The 17,745-nt window shown below is 38.9% G+C and overlaps 1 protein-coding gene across 47 annotated transcripts in view; it reads left to right on the forward strand.

Moving 5' to 3' along the window:
- Positions 1-16,935, forward strand: part of PER3 (period circadian regulator 3) — a 60,887-nt gene extending 43,952 nt beyond the window's left edge. For 17 of the 47 annotated variants that reach the window (XM_047433442.1, XM_047433437.1, XM_047433434.1 and 14 more), the window contains 4 exons: positions 1,592-1,919; positions 7,520-7,703; positions 8,757-8,907; positions 14,430-16,935. In XM_047433442.1, coding sequence (XP_047289398.1) covers positions 1,592-1,919; positions 7,520-7,703; positions 8,757-8,907; positions 14,430-14,513 — 747 coding nt within the window. In that variant the 3' untranslated portion in view covers positions 14,514-16,935. Of the gene's footprint in view, positions 1-1,591; positions 1,920-7,519; positions 7,704-8,756; positions 8,908-14,383 lie in introns of all 47 variants that reach the window. The other 30 variants (XM_047433435.1, XM_047433440.1, XM_047433454.1 and 27 more) reach the window with 4 other exon arrangements.

Consider the following 17,745-nt stretch of genomic DNA (forward strand, 5'->3'; position numbering starts at 1 on the left):
TCACAGGACAACAGGTGTGTATGAAGAGGTAGGAGCTATTTTATTTGTTATCAGTAGAGTAGGCAGTTTATAGTTTCACACTTAAACATGTCATTTTTTTCAAAACCAAAAGCTTTTTTGGTCTGCTTCCTTTAACTTTTCATCCCTTTACCTAAAAAGCCATTCTCAGGTTTATTTAGCAGGTTAAACTTTGGAATCTGACGTTCCTATATTTAGGTATAGAATCCAAGGCAAGTGTGAATATTTACACAGATTTTTCTTTGACCTTCTCTTTAAGGTACAATACCCTTCTTTAACAGATATTCAAAATCTAGTGATACAAATCAAGAAAATATGCTCACTTTTGAAAGCCTGGTGTGCTTGCTGAAAATCTAAGGGAAGGCAGTATATTACAGTGAGTAAAGCCTGGGCTATGGATTAAGACACGGATTCAAATCCCAGCTCGGTCACTAGTTAGGAAGATTCACTTAGACAAGTTATTTAACCTTTCTTTGCCTGTGTTTCCTTATTAGGAAAATGGAAAGATGAATCCCTCATAGCTTACTCTGAGGGCTAAATGATGTATTTATATAGTACTTCTCCCTATGCAGTAGGTGCTCCTGGAGAGCTGGAACTTTGTTTTGTTCATTATTATATTCCTAGTGTTTGACACAGTGCCTAGAACATATAAATGTTCGATATGTGTTTGCTGAGTGACAAAAAAAAACTACTTGTGGGGTGCCTGGCATGTAGCAGGTACTGAGAAAGTAGTAGTGCCTTAATATTACTTACAAAGGAACTTATTTCTTAGAGATAGGCTGGAACGTTTTTACTTCTTAGTTATATATGTAAATTTTATTCTGTTTAACACACGAAGTTGAAGATCTGCCAGTTACAGTAGTCTCCCTTACCCAGGGGATATGTTTCAAACCCATGGTGGATGCCGGAAACCGTGGGTAGTTCTGAACCGTATATACAGTATGTTTTTTCCTAAACATACTATACATATCTATGGTAAAGTTTAATTGATAAATTAAGAACAGTAAGAGATTAACAGCAGTAACTAATAACATAGAACAATGATAACAATATACTCATCACAATTTCATGGATAGAAGATTCGTTTTTGCCTAAAATTGTAGCACTCTCAGCATATGGGTTTTTCCTTTCCTTCTTGAGAACTTCCACCTTTTCACTTAAATGCAGCACTTTATGACTTCTCTTTGGCATATCCCAATTGCTGGCATCACTCCTCTTGCACTTTGGGGCCATTATTAAGTAAAATAAATGTTACTTGAACACAAGCACTATGATACCACAGTAGATCTGATAACCAAGACGGCTACTGAGTGTGGAGGTGTGAAATAAAGGGATGATTCCTATCACAGGCTGGAAGCAATAAGACAGCTCAAAATTTTATGACACTACCAGAATGGCTGACAATTTTAAACTTATGAACTGTTTATTTCTGGAATTTTCCATTTACTATTTTTGGACCTTGGTTGACCACAGGTAACTGAAACTACAGAAAGCAAAACCATGAATAAAGGAGGACTACTGTATTTTGTGATAAGAAGATTAAAGTGTCTTTTCATGTGCCCTTACTTTCTAGCAGTGTGTTACAGGCAACAATGGCAGTGAGAGCAGTCCTGCTACTACCGGTGCACTGTCCACGGGGTCACCTCCCAGGGAGAATCCATCCCATCCTACTGCCAGCGCTCTGTCCACAGGATCGCCTCCCATGAAGAATCCATCCCATCCTACTGCCAGCGCTCTGTCCACAGGATCGCCTCCCATGAAGAATCCATCCCATCCTACTGCCAGCACACTGTCCATGGGATTGCCTCCCAGCAGGACTCCATCCCATCCTACTGCCACTGTTCTGTCCACGGGGTCACCTCCCAGCGAATCCCCATCCAGAACTGGTTCAGCAGCATCAGGTAGTGGATCAGGACAACTAATGTTTCAAACTCCAATGCCAGACATTCACTATGTGCTGAGCTCTCACTGTGTGCCCCAGGCACTGATGTGGAAGTACAAGGTTTTTTTTTCTTTTTCCCTTTTTCCTTTTTGTCAGGTATATTGGGGTATATTTATACACAATAAAATTCACCAGTTTGAGGGGTACAAACAAGAATTCTGACAGATGTGTACCTTAGTGTAAGCGCTACCACAATCACCATATAGAACATTTCTGTCACCCCAAACAGTTCTGTGACCCTCACCAGTCCATCTCTGCCCTGACCCTTGGTCTCCTGGCAGCCACTGGTTTGCTTTCTGTCACTTTAGTTTTGCTTTTCCTATGATTTATGTATAGAATCAGACAGTATGCTGTCTTTCGTATTCGGATTCTTTCAGTTAGCATGATGCTGTTGAGATGCACGCTCAATAGCATTTATAGCTTAGATCTGTGATCCATTTTGAGTTTTGTGTATGGTATGAGGAAGGGTCAATATACTTTCTTTACATTGGGATATCTAACTGTTCCTGCCGTTTGTTCAAAGGATTAATCTTTCCCCCGTTAAATTGCCGTGATGCCTTTGTTGAAAATAACTTGACCATACACGTGTGGGTGTATTTCTGGACTCTCTTTTCTGTTCCACTGATCTGTATGGCTAGCTTTAGGCCAATACCACACTCTTAAGTAATGTAACTTTCAAGTAAGTCTTGAAGCGTGGTGAAGTAAGTCCTTCAACTTAATTCTTCTTTTCAAAATGATTTTGAATATTCTAGGTCCTTTGTCCATATAAATTATAGACTCCATTTCTCAGTTTCTACAAAAAAGTCTCGTGGTGTTTGGAATGAAATTGTGTTGAATCTATAGATGATCAATACGTGAATAATTATCTTCCTGATGATATTGAGTGTTTTGATCCACAAGTACGATTTTTCTATGTAGGTCTTTAATTCTTCTCAGCAGGGTTTTATAGTTTTCAGCCTACAACCCTTACATATATTTTGCTAAATTTATCTCTAAGGATTTTATAATTGTTGATGCTACTGAAAATGGCATTTTAAATTTTCAATTTGCAATTGTTTGTTGTTAGCATATAGAAATTTAATCAAATTGTGTATTTTTAACTTGTATTTTGCAGTCTTGCTAAACTCATTGATTAGTTTTAGTAGCTCTTTTTAGATTCTGCAGGACTTTTCTACATAGTCTTTATTATCTGCAAATATAATTTTACTTCTTTTTTTCCGTCTGTATGTCTTTATTTATTTGTCTTGCCTCATTGAACTGGCTAGGACCCACAGTGAAGTGTTTAATAGAAATAGGAAAATAGACACTTGCCTGGTTCACAGTCTTAAGGGGAAAGCAGTCAGTGTTTCACCATTAAGTACGATGTTAAGTATAAGTTTTCCTTGAATGCCCTTATCAGATTGAGGAAGTTCACTTCTATTGCTGCTCCACTGAGTTGCCCTTTCTGCGTCTGTTGAGATAATCATGTGGTTTTCCTCCCTTATTCTATTAATATGGTGAATTACATCAGTTTTCTGATAATAAATTAACCTTGCATTTGGTCATGCTCTTTTATCCTTTTTTATATGTTGTTGGATTATCTTCCTAATATTTTGTTACGCATTATTGCATCTCTGTGCAGAATATTGGTCCATTTACTTTCTTTACTTGTAATGTCTTTGTCTGGTTTTGGTATCAGAGTAATTCTGGCCTCAAAAAATGAGCTAGGAACTATTCTTTGCTATTCTGTTTTCTGGAAGAGTTTGTGTTGAACTGATATTATTTTTTCTTTGTAAGTTTGGTAGACTTTACCAGTGAATCTTTCTGGGCCTGGAGTTTTCTTGGTGAGGAGGATTTTAACAACAAATTTAAATATTTTAATATATATGGGTCTAATCAGGTTATCAGTTTCTTAGTGATCTTTGGTAATTTGTATCTTTCAAGAAATGTATCTATTTTATCTAATTTGTTGAATATATTGGCATAAAGTTTTTAATATTCCCTTTTCCTTTTAATGTCTGTAGGTTTTATAGTAATGTACCCCTCTTATTGCTGGTATTAATATTTTTCCTGATCAATCTGACTGTATGTTTATCAATTTTAATAACTTTTCAAAGAACTTTGGATCTCATTGGGGTTTTTTTTCCTATTGTTTTTTGGTTTTTTATTTTATTGATTTATGCTCTTTTTTTTTTTTTTTTTTTTTCCCTGGGACAGAGTCTGGCACTGTCACCTGGGCTGGAGTGCAGTGGCACGATATTGGCTTACTGCAACCTCCACCTCCCAGGATCAAGCGATTCTCCTGCCTTAGCCTCCCGAGTAGCTGGGATTACGGGTGCCCGCCACCACACCCAGTTGATTTTTTGTATTTTTAGTAGAGACGGGGTTTCACCATGTTGGCCAGGCTGGTCTTGAACTCCTGATCTCATGATTCGCCCGCCTTGGCCTTCCAAATTGCTGGGATTACAAGCATCATCCACCGTGTCCAGCCTATGCTCTAATTTTTATTACTTCTTTTCTCTTTACTTTGGATTTTATTTTTTTTTTCTTATTTCTTAAGGTAGAAGCTTACTTGTTAGATCTTTGAATTGAGATTTTTCCCCCCCAATATAAACATTTAATGCTATTGAATGCTCTAACCATTGCATCCCTCAAATTTTTTTTTTTTTTTTTTGGAACCAAGGTCTCACTCTGTTGCCCAGGCTGGAGTGCAGTGGCATGATCCCAGCTCACTGCACCCTCAAACTTCTGGGTTCAACAATCCTCTGGCCTCAGCTTCCTGAGTAGCTGGAACTGCAGGCATATGCCAGTGTACCTGGCCAGTCTAAAATATTTCTAATTTCACTTGTATTTTCTTCTTTGATCTTTTGGTTGTTTTAGAAAGGCTTAATTTCCTAATATTTGGAGATTTTTTTTAGATATTTTTATTTTATTTCTAATTTAAATGCAGTCAGAGAACATTCTTTTGTATTTTTTAAATTTACCAAGACATTGTGTAATGATCTGGAATTTGGTCCATCATGATAAATGTTTCATGTGCATTTGAAAAGAATATGCTTTCTGCTGTTGTTGAGTCATGTGTTCTGTAAATGTAAATTAGATCAAGTTGGTTGATAATGTTGATCCAACCTTTTCTAACTGATTTTCTATCTGTTTTATAAGTTATTATGATATGGTTTATATGTCCAGCTATAAATGTGAATTTCTCTATTTTTTCTTATAGTGCAGTGAGTTTTTGCTTCATGTATTTTGAAGCTCTTTTATTAGGTGCATATACACTTGAGATTATTATATCCTCTTGATGAATTGCTCTCTTTATCCTGAAATATGTCTTGCTTTGAAGTCTGCTTTGTCTGATATCAGTGTATCCAGTCCAGCTTTATTTGGTTAGTGTTTACATGGTAAATTTTTTTCATCTTTTTACTTTCAACTTATCTGTGTCTTTATATTTAAAGTAAGTTTCTCGTAACCACCATATAGTTGGGTATTGCTTTTTATTCATGTGACAGTCTCAGCCTTTTAACTGCAATGCTTGCTTAGATTATTTACATTTAATGTGAATATTGATATGGTTAGGTTTAAGTTAAATCTTTCATCTTGCTACTAATTTTCTGTTTGTCTCATCTGCCCTTTCTTTTTTTCCTCCTACCCTCCTCCTTTCGGGTTAATTGTGTATTGGCTTCTAAGCATAACTTTTTTTTTGTTTTTGCTCTAGGATTAACTTTTTATTTATTTTTATTTTATCTTATTTTTTTCTTTGAGACTGAGTCTCACTCTGTCACCCAGGCTGGAGTGCAGTGGTGCCATCTTGGCTCACTGCACCCTCCACCTCCTAGGTTCAAGCAATTCTCCTGCCTCTACCTCCCAAGTAGCTGGTACTACAGGCGTGCACCACCACGCCTAATTTTTTGTATTTTTAGTATAGACGGAGTTTCACCATGTCAGCCAGACTGAACTCAAACTCCTGACCTCAGGCGATCCGCCCGCCTTGGCCTCCCAAAGTGCTGGCATTACAGGTGTGAGCCACCACGCCCAGCCTGCTCTAGGTTGTACAATGCACATCTTTTACTTATCACAGTTTACCTTCAAATATTATGCCTATTGTATCACTTTATATATTAGAACCTTAAGACGGAGTACTTCCATGTCCCCTTTGTCTTTTGTGCTATTTTTGTCATACATTTTAACGTGTAAAAAAACCCACAATAACATTGTTATTATTTTTGCTTTAAACAGTAACAACCTCTTAAAGTTGTTTTGTGTGAGTGTTTTGTTGTTGTTGTTGTTGTTTTGACACAAGGTGTCACTCTGTTACCCAGGCTAGAGTGCACTGATGCAATCATAGCTCACTGTAGCCTCAAACTCCTGGGCTCAAGCAATCCTCCAACCTTAGCCTCCTGAGTAGCTAGGACTACAGGCATGTACCACCACACTCAGCTAATTTTTTATTTTTATGGAGATGGAACCTACCTCACTGTGTTGCCCAGGCTGGTTTCAAACTCCTGGCCTCAAGCAGTCCTCTCATCTTGGCCTCCCAAAGTGCCAGGATTACAGGTGTGAGCCACCACGCCCAACCTAAAGATATTTTTTAATGAGGAAAATTTTTTTATTACTTTTTTATTTACATACTTAGTTTTTTAAAAAAAATTAAACAAATAGTTTTGTTTTGTGTTTTTAATTCCTTCAAAGTCAGTGAGAAGGTTCTAGAAGGGTCAAATGCAAGATAGGAAAGGAATGATCCATAAGGCTTCATATCAGCCATAAAGGGATGGTCCTTGGGATGAACAGTTTCTGTGTTGTGGCAGGAGGAAGGTGAGGAGGGGGTACATATATCATTAATTGTGTATGTTTGGTATCATAAAGGTGATTAATTTGCTTTCTGATGGCTTCTTTTTTCCTTAAAAAATAGGTGAGATTGAGGCAGGAAATAGAGAGGTTGAAAATAGTCATTGCTGGGGGTAGGTTAGTGCATGACCAGAGAACTGTAGCAGGATTCCCAGGTATTTTGATGGTGCATTTGAGGTTGGTGATGATGCGTTTATTGTAGAAACACTGTACCCTGTTATATGTGACTTTCTGTATGTATTTGGCGACTTGGGTTTAGGTAAGAACAAAGTCAATAATTGGCTTTATTGGAGTTGGCATTTTGACAGTTATGAAAAGTCAGAGGGAAAAAGAAGTCTAAGGTATTGCAAGGTGTGTTACTGAATGATGAACTGAGGACTCCACTACAGGAAGACTAAGACGTTATTAACACATTTATAGTTGAAATAATTGAACAAGCCCATGAGAGAGTGAAGCTGAGATGTTGATGATTTTGGAGATGGAGCGGTTATGGGTGATGATAAAGGACAATGTGTGTAGCCTTGAGAGTGATAGCTCATTAGGAATGGAAAAAGAGATCTCAGGAAGACCAAAGAACCAGGAGGCTGTCCACAGGGAGGAGGAAGTTTCCCGGAAATGATGGTTGGGCTGGCTGAGGAGGAGGACTGTCCGAGGCAAGAGTCTGAAGAATGAGAGCCAGTTTGGCAAATCAGTCGGACAGGTCTTTTCTAATTATGTGTTGTTGATTTTTGACAGGAAGCAGCGACAGCAGTATATACCTTACTAGTAGTGTTTATTCTTCTAAAATCTCCCAAAATGGGCAGCAATCTCAGGACGTACAGAAAAAAGAAACATTTCCTAATGTCGCCGAAGAGCCCATCTGGAGAATGATACGGCAGACACCTGAGCGCATTCTCATGACATACCAGGTACCTGAGAGGTAAGAAAGCACTTTAGAAAACCCACTTTTTATATTTTTGTGGTTTCTTTTTTTCTTTTTTTTCTTTTTTGAGACGGAGTCTCGCCCTGTCACCCAGGCTGGAGTGCAGTGGCACGATCTCAGCACACTGCAACCTCCATCTCCTGGGTTCAAGCGATTCTTCTGCCTCAGCCTCCCGAGTAGCTGGAATTATAGATGTGCACCACCATGCGTGTCTAATTTTTGTATTTTTAGTAGAGACGGGGTTTGTTTGTGACAGAGTCTCACTCTGTCGCCCAGGCTGGAGTGCCGTGGTGCCATCTCGGCTCACTACAACCTCCACCTCCCAGGTTCAAGATTCTCCTGCCTCAGCCTCCCAAGTAGTTGGGATTACAGGTATGCACCACCACACCAAGCTAGTTTTTTGTATTTTTAGTAGAGATGGAATTTCCTCATGTTGGCCAGGTTGATCTTGAACTCCTGGCCTCAGGTGATCTGCCCACCTCGGCCTCCCAAAGTGCTGGGATTACAGGCGTGAGCCACTGCACCCGGCCTATGGTTTCTTAATGTGTTTTTAAAGACAAAATAATTATTGAATGTTTTATAAATTCCCTTTGAGAAATGTGTCTTCAAATTTATTCATTTGAAGTCAAGTGATGAATGATTTCTTAAAATAAGGGTGGCAGTGGTAATGTTACCTCTATTCAGATCCAGACTAAACAGATCTTACACATCATGAGACAAAGAAACAAAGTCTGTGCTTTCCAAGATGGCACACAAGTACAAGAACTTTTTGTTTTAGACTCTTGATTTTTTTGCCCCTTCTAAAAAGAGCTAAGGGAAATCTCTTTCTTCCATACACCTCATTAAAACATCATATAGATATTTTCCACCAAGAAAAAAGCCTTTACCAACTTGAAAAGGAAATGATCTAGTTATTTTTTTAATGTATGCCTCATGTGTTAGAAAATGTAAGGTGTATTACCAACCAAGAAGAAGTGCTATTCCTAGATGACGGGAAAAGAACCCTGTGTCTTATTCAGGACTATTAAGATTCTGTTTGTTTGTTTTCAGGGTTAAAGAAGTTGTACTAAAAGAAGACCTGGAAAAGCTAGAAAGTATGAGGCAGCAGCAGCCCCAGTTTTCTCATGGGCAAAAGGAGGAGCTGGCTAAGGTGTATAATTGGATTCAAAGCCAGACTGTCACTCAAGAAATCGACATTCAAGTAAGCACAGTAATAATGGCTGTCATATACTCATGTATTTTGGCCAGGTAGTGCTTTTAATATAGGTCGTGTTCTTGCATGATCCCACTAAAAACTTTAATCCTCACAGTTTACCTCTATGGTAGGTGTTATTATTCCCTCTTTACCAATAAGCAACAAGCAGGTTATACACATGTGAAATAATTAATACAAGGCCATGCAGTTCATTGGGTTTTGAATACAGGTCTTTTTGCCTCCAGGTGGTTTTTTCTTCTACCAGTTGGAATGTTAGGGTACGATAAAGAGTAAAAACACCTGCTTTGATGTGTGATTGACTGCATTTGATAGGTCATTTGTTATGTATTTCAAATATGTCTGCATTGTTTGAAAAGAGTTAAAAAAAGATGTAAGATTCACACCAGAGGTAGTATTCATACTAAGCAGAAACTTTAATGGGACTTAAGTGTCTTTTTGCTGTTATGAGTTCTTCTCAATGAGATTATTTGTGAATAGCCTGAACAGTAAAGCTTTGATTTACCAATGGTCCCAACCAGTGTTGGTGGCAGCTGTGGTAATGGTAGTGATGGTTGTACTAGTAGTGAGATCTTTATTCCCGCAAGTATCAAGATATGGGAGGTTGAAGAGTCAAGTTAATAACAAGTAGGCCTAGTCCAGTGGCTCACGTCTGTAATCCCAGCACTTTGGGAGGCCAAGGTGAGAGGATCAGGAGTTGGAGACCACGCTGGGCAGCATAGCCAAACCTCATCTCTAATAAAAATCAAAACAATTAGCCAGGTGTGGTGGCGTGCACCTATAGTCCCAACTACTCAGGAGGTTGAGGCAGGAGGATTGCTTGAGCCTGGGAAATTGAGGCTACAGTGAGCTATGATCTCGCCAGTGCATTCCAGCCAGTCTCAAAAAAGACAAATAATTCGTGTGTGTGTGTGTGTAAAAATATTTTTAAAAAAGAGAGTAAAGTTAGGTGTTAAAGTATGATATTAAGGCTTATGAAGTAAGCAAGACAATGAAATCCTACTACCCCCTCTTTTTAAAAACTAACATTTTTATTGTGGTATAATACACATAACATGGAATTTACCTTCTGAACTATTTTTAAGTATATAATTCAAGAATATTAAATATTTTCACATTATGCAACCATCACCACCATCCATCTCCAGAACTCTCTTCATTTTGCAAAACTGAAACTCTGTACCCATTTAACAATAACTTCCCCATTCCTCCTTCTCCCAACCCTTTGCAACCACTGGTCTACTTTCTCTTTTTTCTTTTTTTTTGAGACAAAGTTTTGCTCTCTTGCCCACGCTGGAGTGCAGTGGTGTGATCTTGGCTCACTGCAACCTCTGCCTCCCAGGTTCAAGTGATTCTCCTGCCTCAGCCTCCAGAGTAGGTGGGATTGCAGGCGCACACCACCATGCCCAGCTAATTTTTGTAGAAATGGGGTTTCCCCATGTTGGCCAGGCTGGTCTCAAACTCCTGACCTCAAGTAATCTGCCCGCCTCAGCCTCTCAAAGTGCTGGGATTACAGGCAAGAGCCATATGAATTTGACTACTCTGCACACCTCATATGAGTGGAATCATACATTATTTGTCTTGGTGTGACTGACTTACAGACGTACCTACTCTCTTGGTTACTATCTGCATGTAGTAACTTTTTACATCCTTTCACTTTCAACCTATCTGTATCTAGATCTAAAGTGAGTAGGCAGCATATATCTGAATAGTGCCTTTCAAAATCGGTTCAGTCAATCTCTGTCTTTTGATTGGAGAATTTAGCCCATTTACATTTAAAGTAATTACTGGTAAAGAAGGACTTACTTGTGGCATTTTGCTATTTGTTTTCTATGTGCCATAAAGATTTTTTTTTCCCTCATTTGCTGCATTACTGTCATCTTTTGTGTTTAGTTGGTTTTTTGAAGTGAAATGTAATGCCCTGCTCATTTCCTGTTGTGTATATTGTGTAGCTATTTTCATTGCGATAACCATGGGGATTACGTTTAGCATTCTAACATATCACTCCAGTGTGTAATTTATACCAGCTTAACTTTGATAACCTACAAAAACTCGCTTCTGTAGAGCTCCATCTCCATCTTCTTTCAGTTACTGAAGTTATGAAATTAGGTTTTTATACGTTGTGTTTCCAAAAACATAATTATTTTTATGCATTAATCTATTAAATAATATAGAAAGCAAAATATGAGATTACAAATCAAAGTTAAAATAATACTGGATTTTATAGACTACTAGTTTTCTTTGAATGTATTAGTTTCTTAAATCATGTAGAAAACAAAAAGTGGAATTGCACATTGTCGTTGCAATCATAATATTTACCTTCGCTGAGATCTCTATTTCTTCACACAGCTTCAGGTTACTGTCAGTGTCCTTTCATTTCAACCCTGCAGGACTCCTGTTAGCATTTCTTGGATGGTAGGTCTAGTGGTATCAAACTCCCTGGCTTTTGTTTGTCTGGGAATGTCTTCACTTCTCCCTTACTTTTGGCCAAAGGATTTCTTAGTTGACAGTTTTTTTTCTTTAAGCACTTTGAATACACTGGGACACTGCCCTCTGGCCTCCACAGTTTCTGATGAGATATCTGCTGATAATCTTATCGAGAATCTCCTGCATGTGTGAGTTGCTTCTCCCTTGCTGCTTTTAAGATTATCTTTGTCTTTGACTGCACGGTATTTAATTATAGTGTGGATCTCCGAGTTCTGAGTACATCCTAGTTGGAGTTCATTTAGCCTCTTGGACTTTTACATTCATGTTTTTCATCAAACTTGGGGAGTTTTCAGCCATTATTTTTTCGAATAATCTTTCTGCCTCTTTCTCTTTTTCTTCCTCTGGGGCCCCTGTAGTGCTTATGTTGGTCCACTCGATGGTTTCCCACATGTCCTCCAGGCCCTGTTGACTTTTCTTCAGTCTTTTTTCTTTCTGTTCGTCGGACTTGACAGTTTCAATTGTCCGGTCTTCATACGTGTATTCTTTCTTCTGCCTGCTTAGATCGGCTTTTGAATCCCTCTAGTGAATTTTTCATTTCAGTTTTGTACTTTTTATTTATGGAATTTCTTTCTGGCTTCTTTTTAGGTTTACTATCTCTTTATTGATATTTACATTGTTTGTACATTGTTTTCTTGATTTTGCTCCATGTCTTTCTTTAATTCTTTCATCATCTTTTTCTTTTTTCTATTTTTTTTTTTAGACAAGGTCTCACTCTGTCACCCAGGCTGGAGTGCAGTGGCATGATCATGGCTCACTGCAGCCTCAGTCTCCTGGGCTCAAGCAATCCTCCCACCTCAGCCTCCCGAGTAGCTAGCACACACCACCATGCCCAGCTAATTTTTTAATTTTCGTAGAGATGGAGTTTTGCCACTTTGCCCAGGCTGGTCTTGAACTCTTGAGCTCAAGCAGTCCACCTGCCTCAGCCACCCAAAGTGCTAGGATTATAGGTATGAGCCACCGCACCCAGCTTTTTCTTTTTCTTTCTTTTTTTTAAGACAGTCTCACTTTGTCATCCAGGCTGGAGTGCAGTGGTATGATCACAGTTCACTGCAGCCTCTACCTCCTGGTCCCAAGTGATCCTCTCAAGTAGCTGGGACTGCAAGTGTGTACCACCATGCCTGGCTAATTTTTTTTTTTTTCCCAGAGATGGAGCCTCACTCTGTTGCCCAGTCTGGTCTTGAACTCCTGGGCTCAAGCCATCCACCTGCCTCAGCCTTCCAAAGTGCTGGGATTACAGGCGTGAGCCACTGTGCCCTACCAGTTCTTTGATCATCTTTCAGTTGTTTTAAAATCTTTGTCTCGCAATTCTTTCATCTGGTCTTTCTCAGAGACTTTTGCTATTGGTTTATTTTTCCCTTTGAATGGCCTATACCAAGGGTGTCCAATCTTTTGGCTTCCCTGGGCCACATTGTAAGAAGAAGAATTGTCTTGGGCCACACATAAAGTATACTAACACTAACAATAGTTAATGAGCTAAAAAATAATAAATCACTAAAAAAAACTCAAAATGTTTTAAGAAAGTTTATGAATTTGTGTTGGGCCACATTCAAAGCCATCCTGGGCCGCATGTGGCCCATGGGCAGGAAGGGGGTCGCACAAGCTGGGGCTGTACTTTGGCGTTTCTTTGTATGCCTTAATGATTTTTTTTTTTTTTGGTTGAAAACTAGACATTTGAATCTAATAACATAGTAATTCTGGAAACCAGATTCTCCCCTTTCCCAGGGCTTATTGATTCTTGTTTTATGATTGTTGGAAGACGGGGTCCTTATTGCCCACTCTGACTCCCACAAGCTGTGTGCAGGCTGCTCCAGGAATACGTGCCTTGTCCAAGGTCAGGGATGGGTAGTTGCTGCTGTGCTTCAAGCTGAAATTGACCACAGGCAACCACAGCTTACCGTCTAAGCATTTCCTAGAAAGTTGCAGGCGTTCAGATAGACTCGAGTTCCAAATAGTTACCTCGGACTCATTTTGTCAGTCCAGTTGTTGTCTAGGTGAGGAGACAGAGTCCTAGTCTTCCTACTCTGCCATCTTCCCAGAATAATCTCCCCATCTCCATTTTCAAAGAAAAGAATGAGTGTCTGTCATGTAAGAATGGCTGGGTAGGGTCTCACCAAAAAGCAGGAGCTGGGCTGGTTATTGTAAGTGTCTTTGTTTTTTTCAGTGTTGTTCTGGTTGTAAATAGACAGGTATATGAAAAATGAGCCCCACAGCAATTTAAACAAAAGCACAGTCCTTTCACCACTTAGTAATGGGGATGTTTTGTGCAAGCGTCCTAGAGTGTACTCATACAAACCTCAGTGGAGTAGCTTGCTACAATCACTCCTAGGCCCTATGGGACAGCCTTTTGATCCTAGGCTACAAACCTGTACAGCTGTTACTGTCCTGAATACTGTAGGCCGTTGTAACACAGTGTTACTTGTGTATCTAAACATAGAAAAGGTACCATAAAAATGTGGTAGGATAATCTTACAAGACCACCATTATATATGCAGTCTGTTTTTGACCGAAACGTCATGTGGCACATGACTGTATTTAAACAATTTGTCATTTGCCTTTTAATAATAAAGAATGAGGCTGGGCGCGGTGTCTACTACCTGTAATCTCAGCAGTTTGGGAGGCCAAGGTGGGCGGATCACGAGGTCAGGGGTTCAAGACCAGCCTGGCCAACATAATGAAACCCTATCTCTACTAAAAAACAAAAATTAGCTGGGCGCGGTGGTGGGCACCTGTGGTCCCAGCTACTTGGGAGGCTGAGGCAAGAGAATCGCTTGAACCTGGGAGGCGGAGGTTGCAGTGAGCTGAGATCGCACCACTGCATTCCAGCCTGGGTGACACCGCAAGACTCTGTCTCAAAAAAAAAAATAAAAATAGTTATAATAATAATAAAGAATGAACTATAATGAAATATTTTCAGACATGAATAAGTTGGGGATTTAGAAACATGTGACCAGCCTTTTACTGTTTTAAAACTCTTTAGGTGACATTGACATCAAGTAACTCGCCTGCTTTGTTCTTTTTTGGAGGCCTGTGTCACTTGTGAAAATGAAGATTCAGCTGATGGTGCGGCCACATCCTGTGGTCAGGTTCTGGTAGAAGACAGCTGTTGAGTGACTGTGAGGATGAACCTTCATACCCTTTCCAAGACGTGTTACACAGACAGACCTTTTTAAGTCCTGGACTTTTAAATGACCATGAAGTTATCATTGAATGTTAAGATTTTTTCTTCTTGATTTTTTAATACACGTAATCTTTTTGAAGCAGACATTGTATACAGAATCTTACTTCTCTTTGTTCCTGATATATTAAAATGGCCAGTTAGGCTCTTTTTGTAGTTGAATTGTCTTCTAAAGAGATTGGATGGCCTCTAAAGAGGTATGTGTATCTTTATTTCAGATGTCACCCAGAGTAAATTATAATTAGAAGTATAGCTAGAATGAGCCCCAAACCTTAGCCTCATTTATTTTGTTCTGTTACATAAGTCATTTTCCCCTTAGAGTGCTTGAAGAAATGCCACCTACAGGTTGTGTACTTTTCATAATGGTTTCCATGAATGTAGTACGTTCATACAGGCTTCATTCAACCTGGCGTTCCCCTCCATAATTAAGATGAAACATTCCGGTTTTCTCACAACACATTAGCACATACTGTCCATTAGCATATCTGGGATAACCAGGTTTTGGGGGTTGAGTTTTGGCCTTCATCCTTGTAGATCCCTTTCCTATTGATTTCCCACCTTCCAGTGAAATTCTGAAAGTCTTATCTTAAAAATCGATCCGCTTACCATGGGCCTATTCTTGTAAGTTTCAGTTAGCATTTGCATGTGTAATATTAAAATGAAAGAGCTTCTTACCCAGTGCTGTTGCCCTTTTGAGTATTTTTGTTTTTAAAATAATGATTGTAAAATGTTTTACAAGTAATGTAAAAGCTAGTATCATTCTTACATACTTCTGTGTTTAAATTTTCATTCTTACCAAAACAGTTAACTCTTTCTTTCCAATCAATTTATACAAAAGAGGTCGCTCCAGCCCTACCACAGGTCTGACTGGCACTGCCTTTTGTTTGCCCTTGAACAGGGCAGTGTTGTGGGGACTGCAAAAGAGAAAACGTCCAGGCGAGCCCAGTTGTCCTCGCCCACAGGGTCCTGCAGGCTCCATCAGTCACCGCTTTCTATGGCGTTTGTAGTTGTGTCTTTTAAGAAGTGAGTGTGATTGTTTACTTGATAAATCAGCTCACTCTCTGGTGCTTTTTAGAGAAGTCCCTGATTCCTTCTTAAACTTGGAATGATAGATGAAATTCACACCCCTGCAGATCAGAAAAAACAAATAGAAGAAAATGAGGGTTACAGTAACCTGTTGTCTTTATATAACTTGCAACAAACTAATTTATTTTTTTTTCCTTTTTTTGTTTTTGGTTTTTTATGGTTTTTTAAGGAAAATACTTTTCTCCTTTGAAGTTTTACAGCTTTTTGTAAATGCGTCCTGATAATGATTAGGAAAATCGACCTTTTCATCCATGATGACCATCCTCATAGCTCAGATCTCCTTTCAAAGTAGTGGCTTTCTGGATGGTAATTCCATCTTAAGGTGTCAGAACTATTTTCAAATGCTGCCTTTGACAGTTCTTGGAATTTTCTGATATTAAGCAGTTCCATGCAAATATTCGTGTTTTATAAATAGCTCTCATAGTCTGCTCCATCTTGATAGTTAAGTGATTTCTGAAGCGTTTGTGTGTGTGTTGATCAGGTTGTGTGATATTTTTGCTTGATAGAGAATCAAATTTGAAACAATTAACCAGCCAGTAGATTGTCTGTCAGTGACCTTCTGTAGTAATAAAGTTTTTGCCACTGTAAATAAAAACAGTATCCGTAGCTATCAGGATCATTGCGCACTCATATATGCTAAGCCTTCTGTTCTCTAATAGAAGCCTTTCTTTTCCATTGTTTCTGGATATTTGTATTATCCAAATGTGCTTATTTCTTTGCCTTAGCACACGTTTTATGGAGTACTTGTTATACTAGGTTTGATTTGAAACTGGTGCTTGTCGCAGAACTGTCAGAGCATGAGGAGCGCTCCTCCTGTGGGTGGACGCATTCACGCACTCCCAGGTTGCACCTGCTGCTGGCGGTGAGCAGGGGGTTCAGCAGCTTGACCGATGCCCCCCGAGGGGGCTCTCCCCAGCTTAAACTTTGTTGTTTAAATTTGTTAACTTTTTATATTAATGACTATTGAAAGTGGTAATAAAAATTTATATTATAGGCTTCAATGTTTTCATGAATGTTACCCAAAAAGCTGTGTTTTCTTTGGTCAGAGGTCAAAATTTATGAAAAACAAAATGCTGTATGAATGGAAATCATTTTGCAATTGAGTGACACTTCATTGTAATTCACAGTGTAAATTTAATCCAAACTGAAATTTTGTTTCAACTGAATTTGTAATTAACTCTGAATTTGTTTTTAATCATTAGTAATATTTCAGTTGGGTATCTTTTTAAGTAAAAACAACAAATAAACTCTGTACATGTAAAACGTGAGAAATTGTCCTGCCCTGTGTCAACAAATCTTTGAATGTGTATTCTGTATCATTTAGAAGTGCTTCTTATGATCTATTGAGGGGCCCTCATATTAGTTAACCTTGTGTTTCTCAGGCACATTCTGTGTTTGCCTTGGCCAATGTGTCTGAGCACCTACTATGTGGAGGATGAAGATGCAGGCACTTTGAAATGTATTGGCTTATTTAGCCCTTTTACACCTAGTGTTCCATTATTGGAACGCTAAGCTTGTGGGAGCTAGGGTGAACCTGTGTACAAGATCTGACTGTGTAACTGGTGGCAACAAAATCTAGAAATTAAAATAGGGAACAAGATCCTGAAGCCAACAGAGCTTTTTAAAGTTTACACCTTTCAGACCATTTGCACCTTTCTTTTCTATAACAAACCATAATAAGAGCAGGAAGAAAAATAGCTAAGTATACTTTGCGTGTATACTACTCTGACAGGTGCTGGTCTAAGTGCTTGATGTGAATTATTTAATCCTCACAACTGCCCTGTGAAATAAGCATTGTGTTATTGTCATTTTACAGAGAAGTAAACTGAGGCAGGGGGAGTCAAGTAACTGGATCAGAGACTCACAGCTGGTGTGCACTGGGAGTAGGAATCTGACCCTAGAAACCTGATGCAAAGCCCCAATCTGTATGAATCATCACCTGATACACTAAAATGAGTAGGGACTTCAGAATTCTGCAGTGGAATTCCACTTTTAAGTTATCTCTGATACAGGAATAGTTTTATGGTGCCAACATTGTGTTCCAGAGAACTGGTTTAATTTCAACACTGAGAGACACA

This window comes from Homo sapiens, chromosome 1 (genome assembly GCF_000001405.40).
Source record: "Homo sapiens chromosome 1, GRCh38.p14 Primary Assembly".
Taxonomy (NCBI): Eukaryota; Metazoa; Chordata; class Mammalia; order Primates; family Hominidae; genus Homo; species Homo sapiens.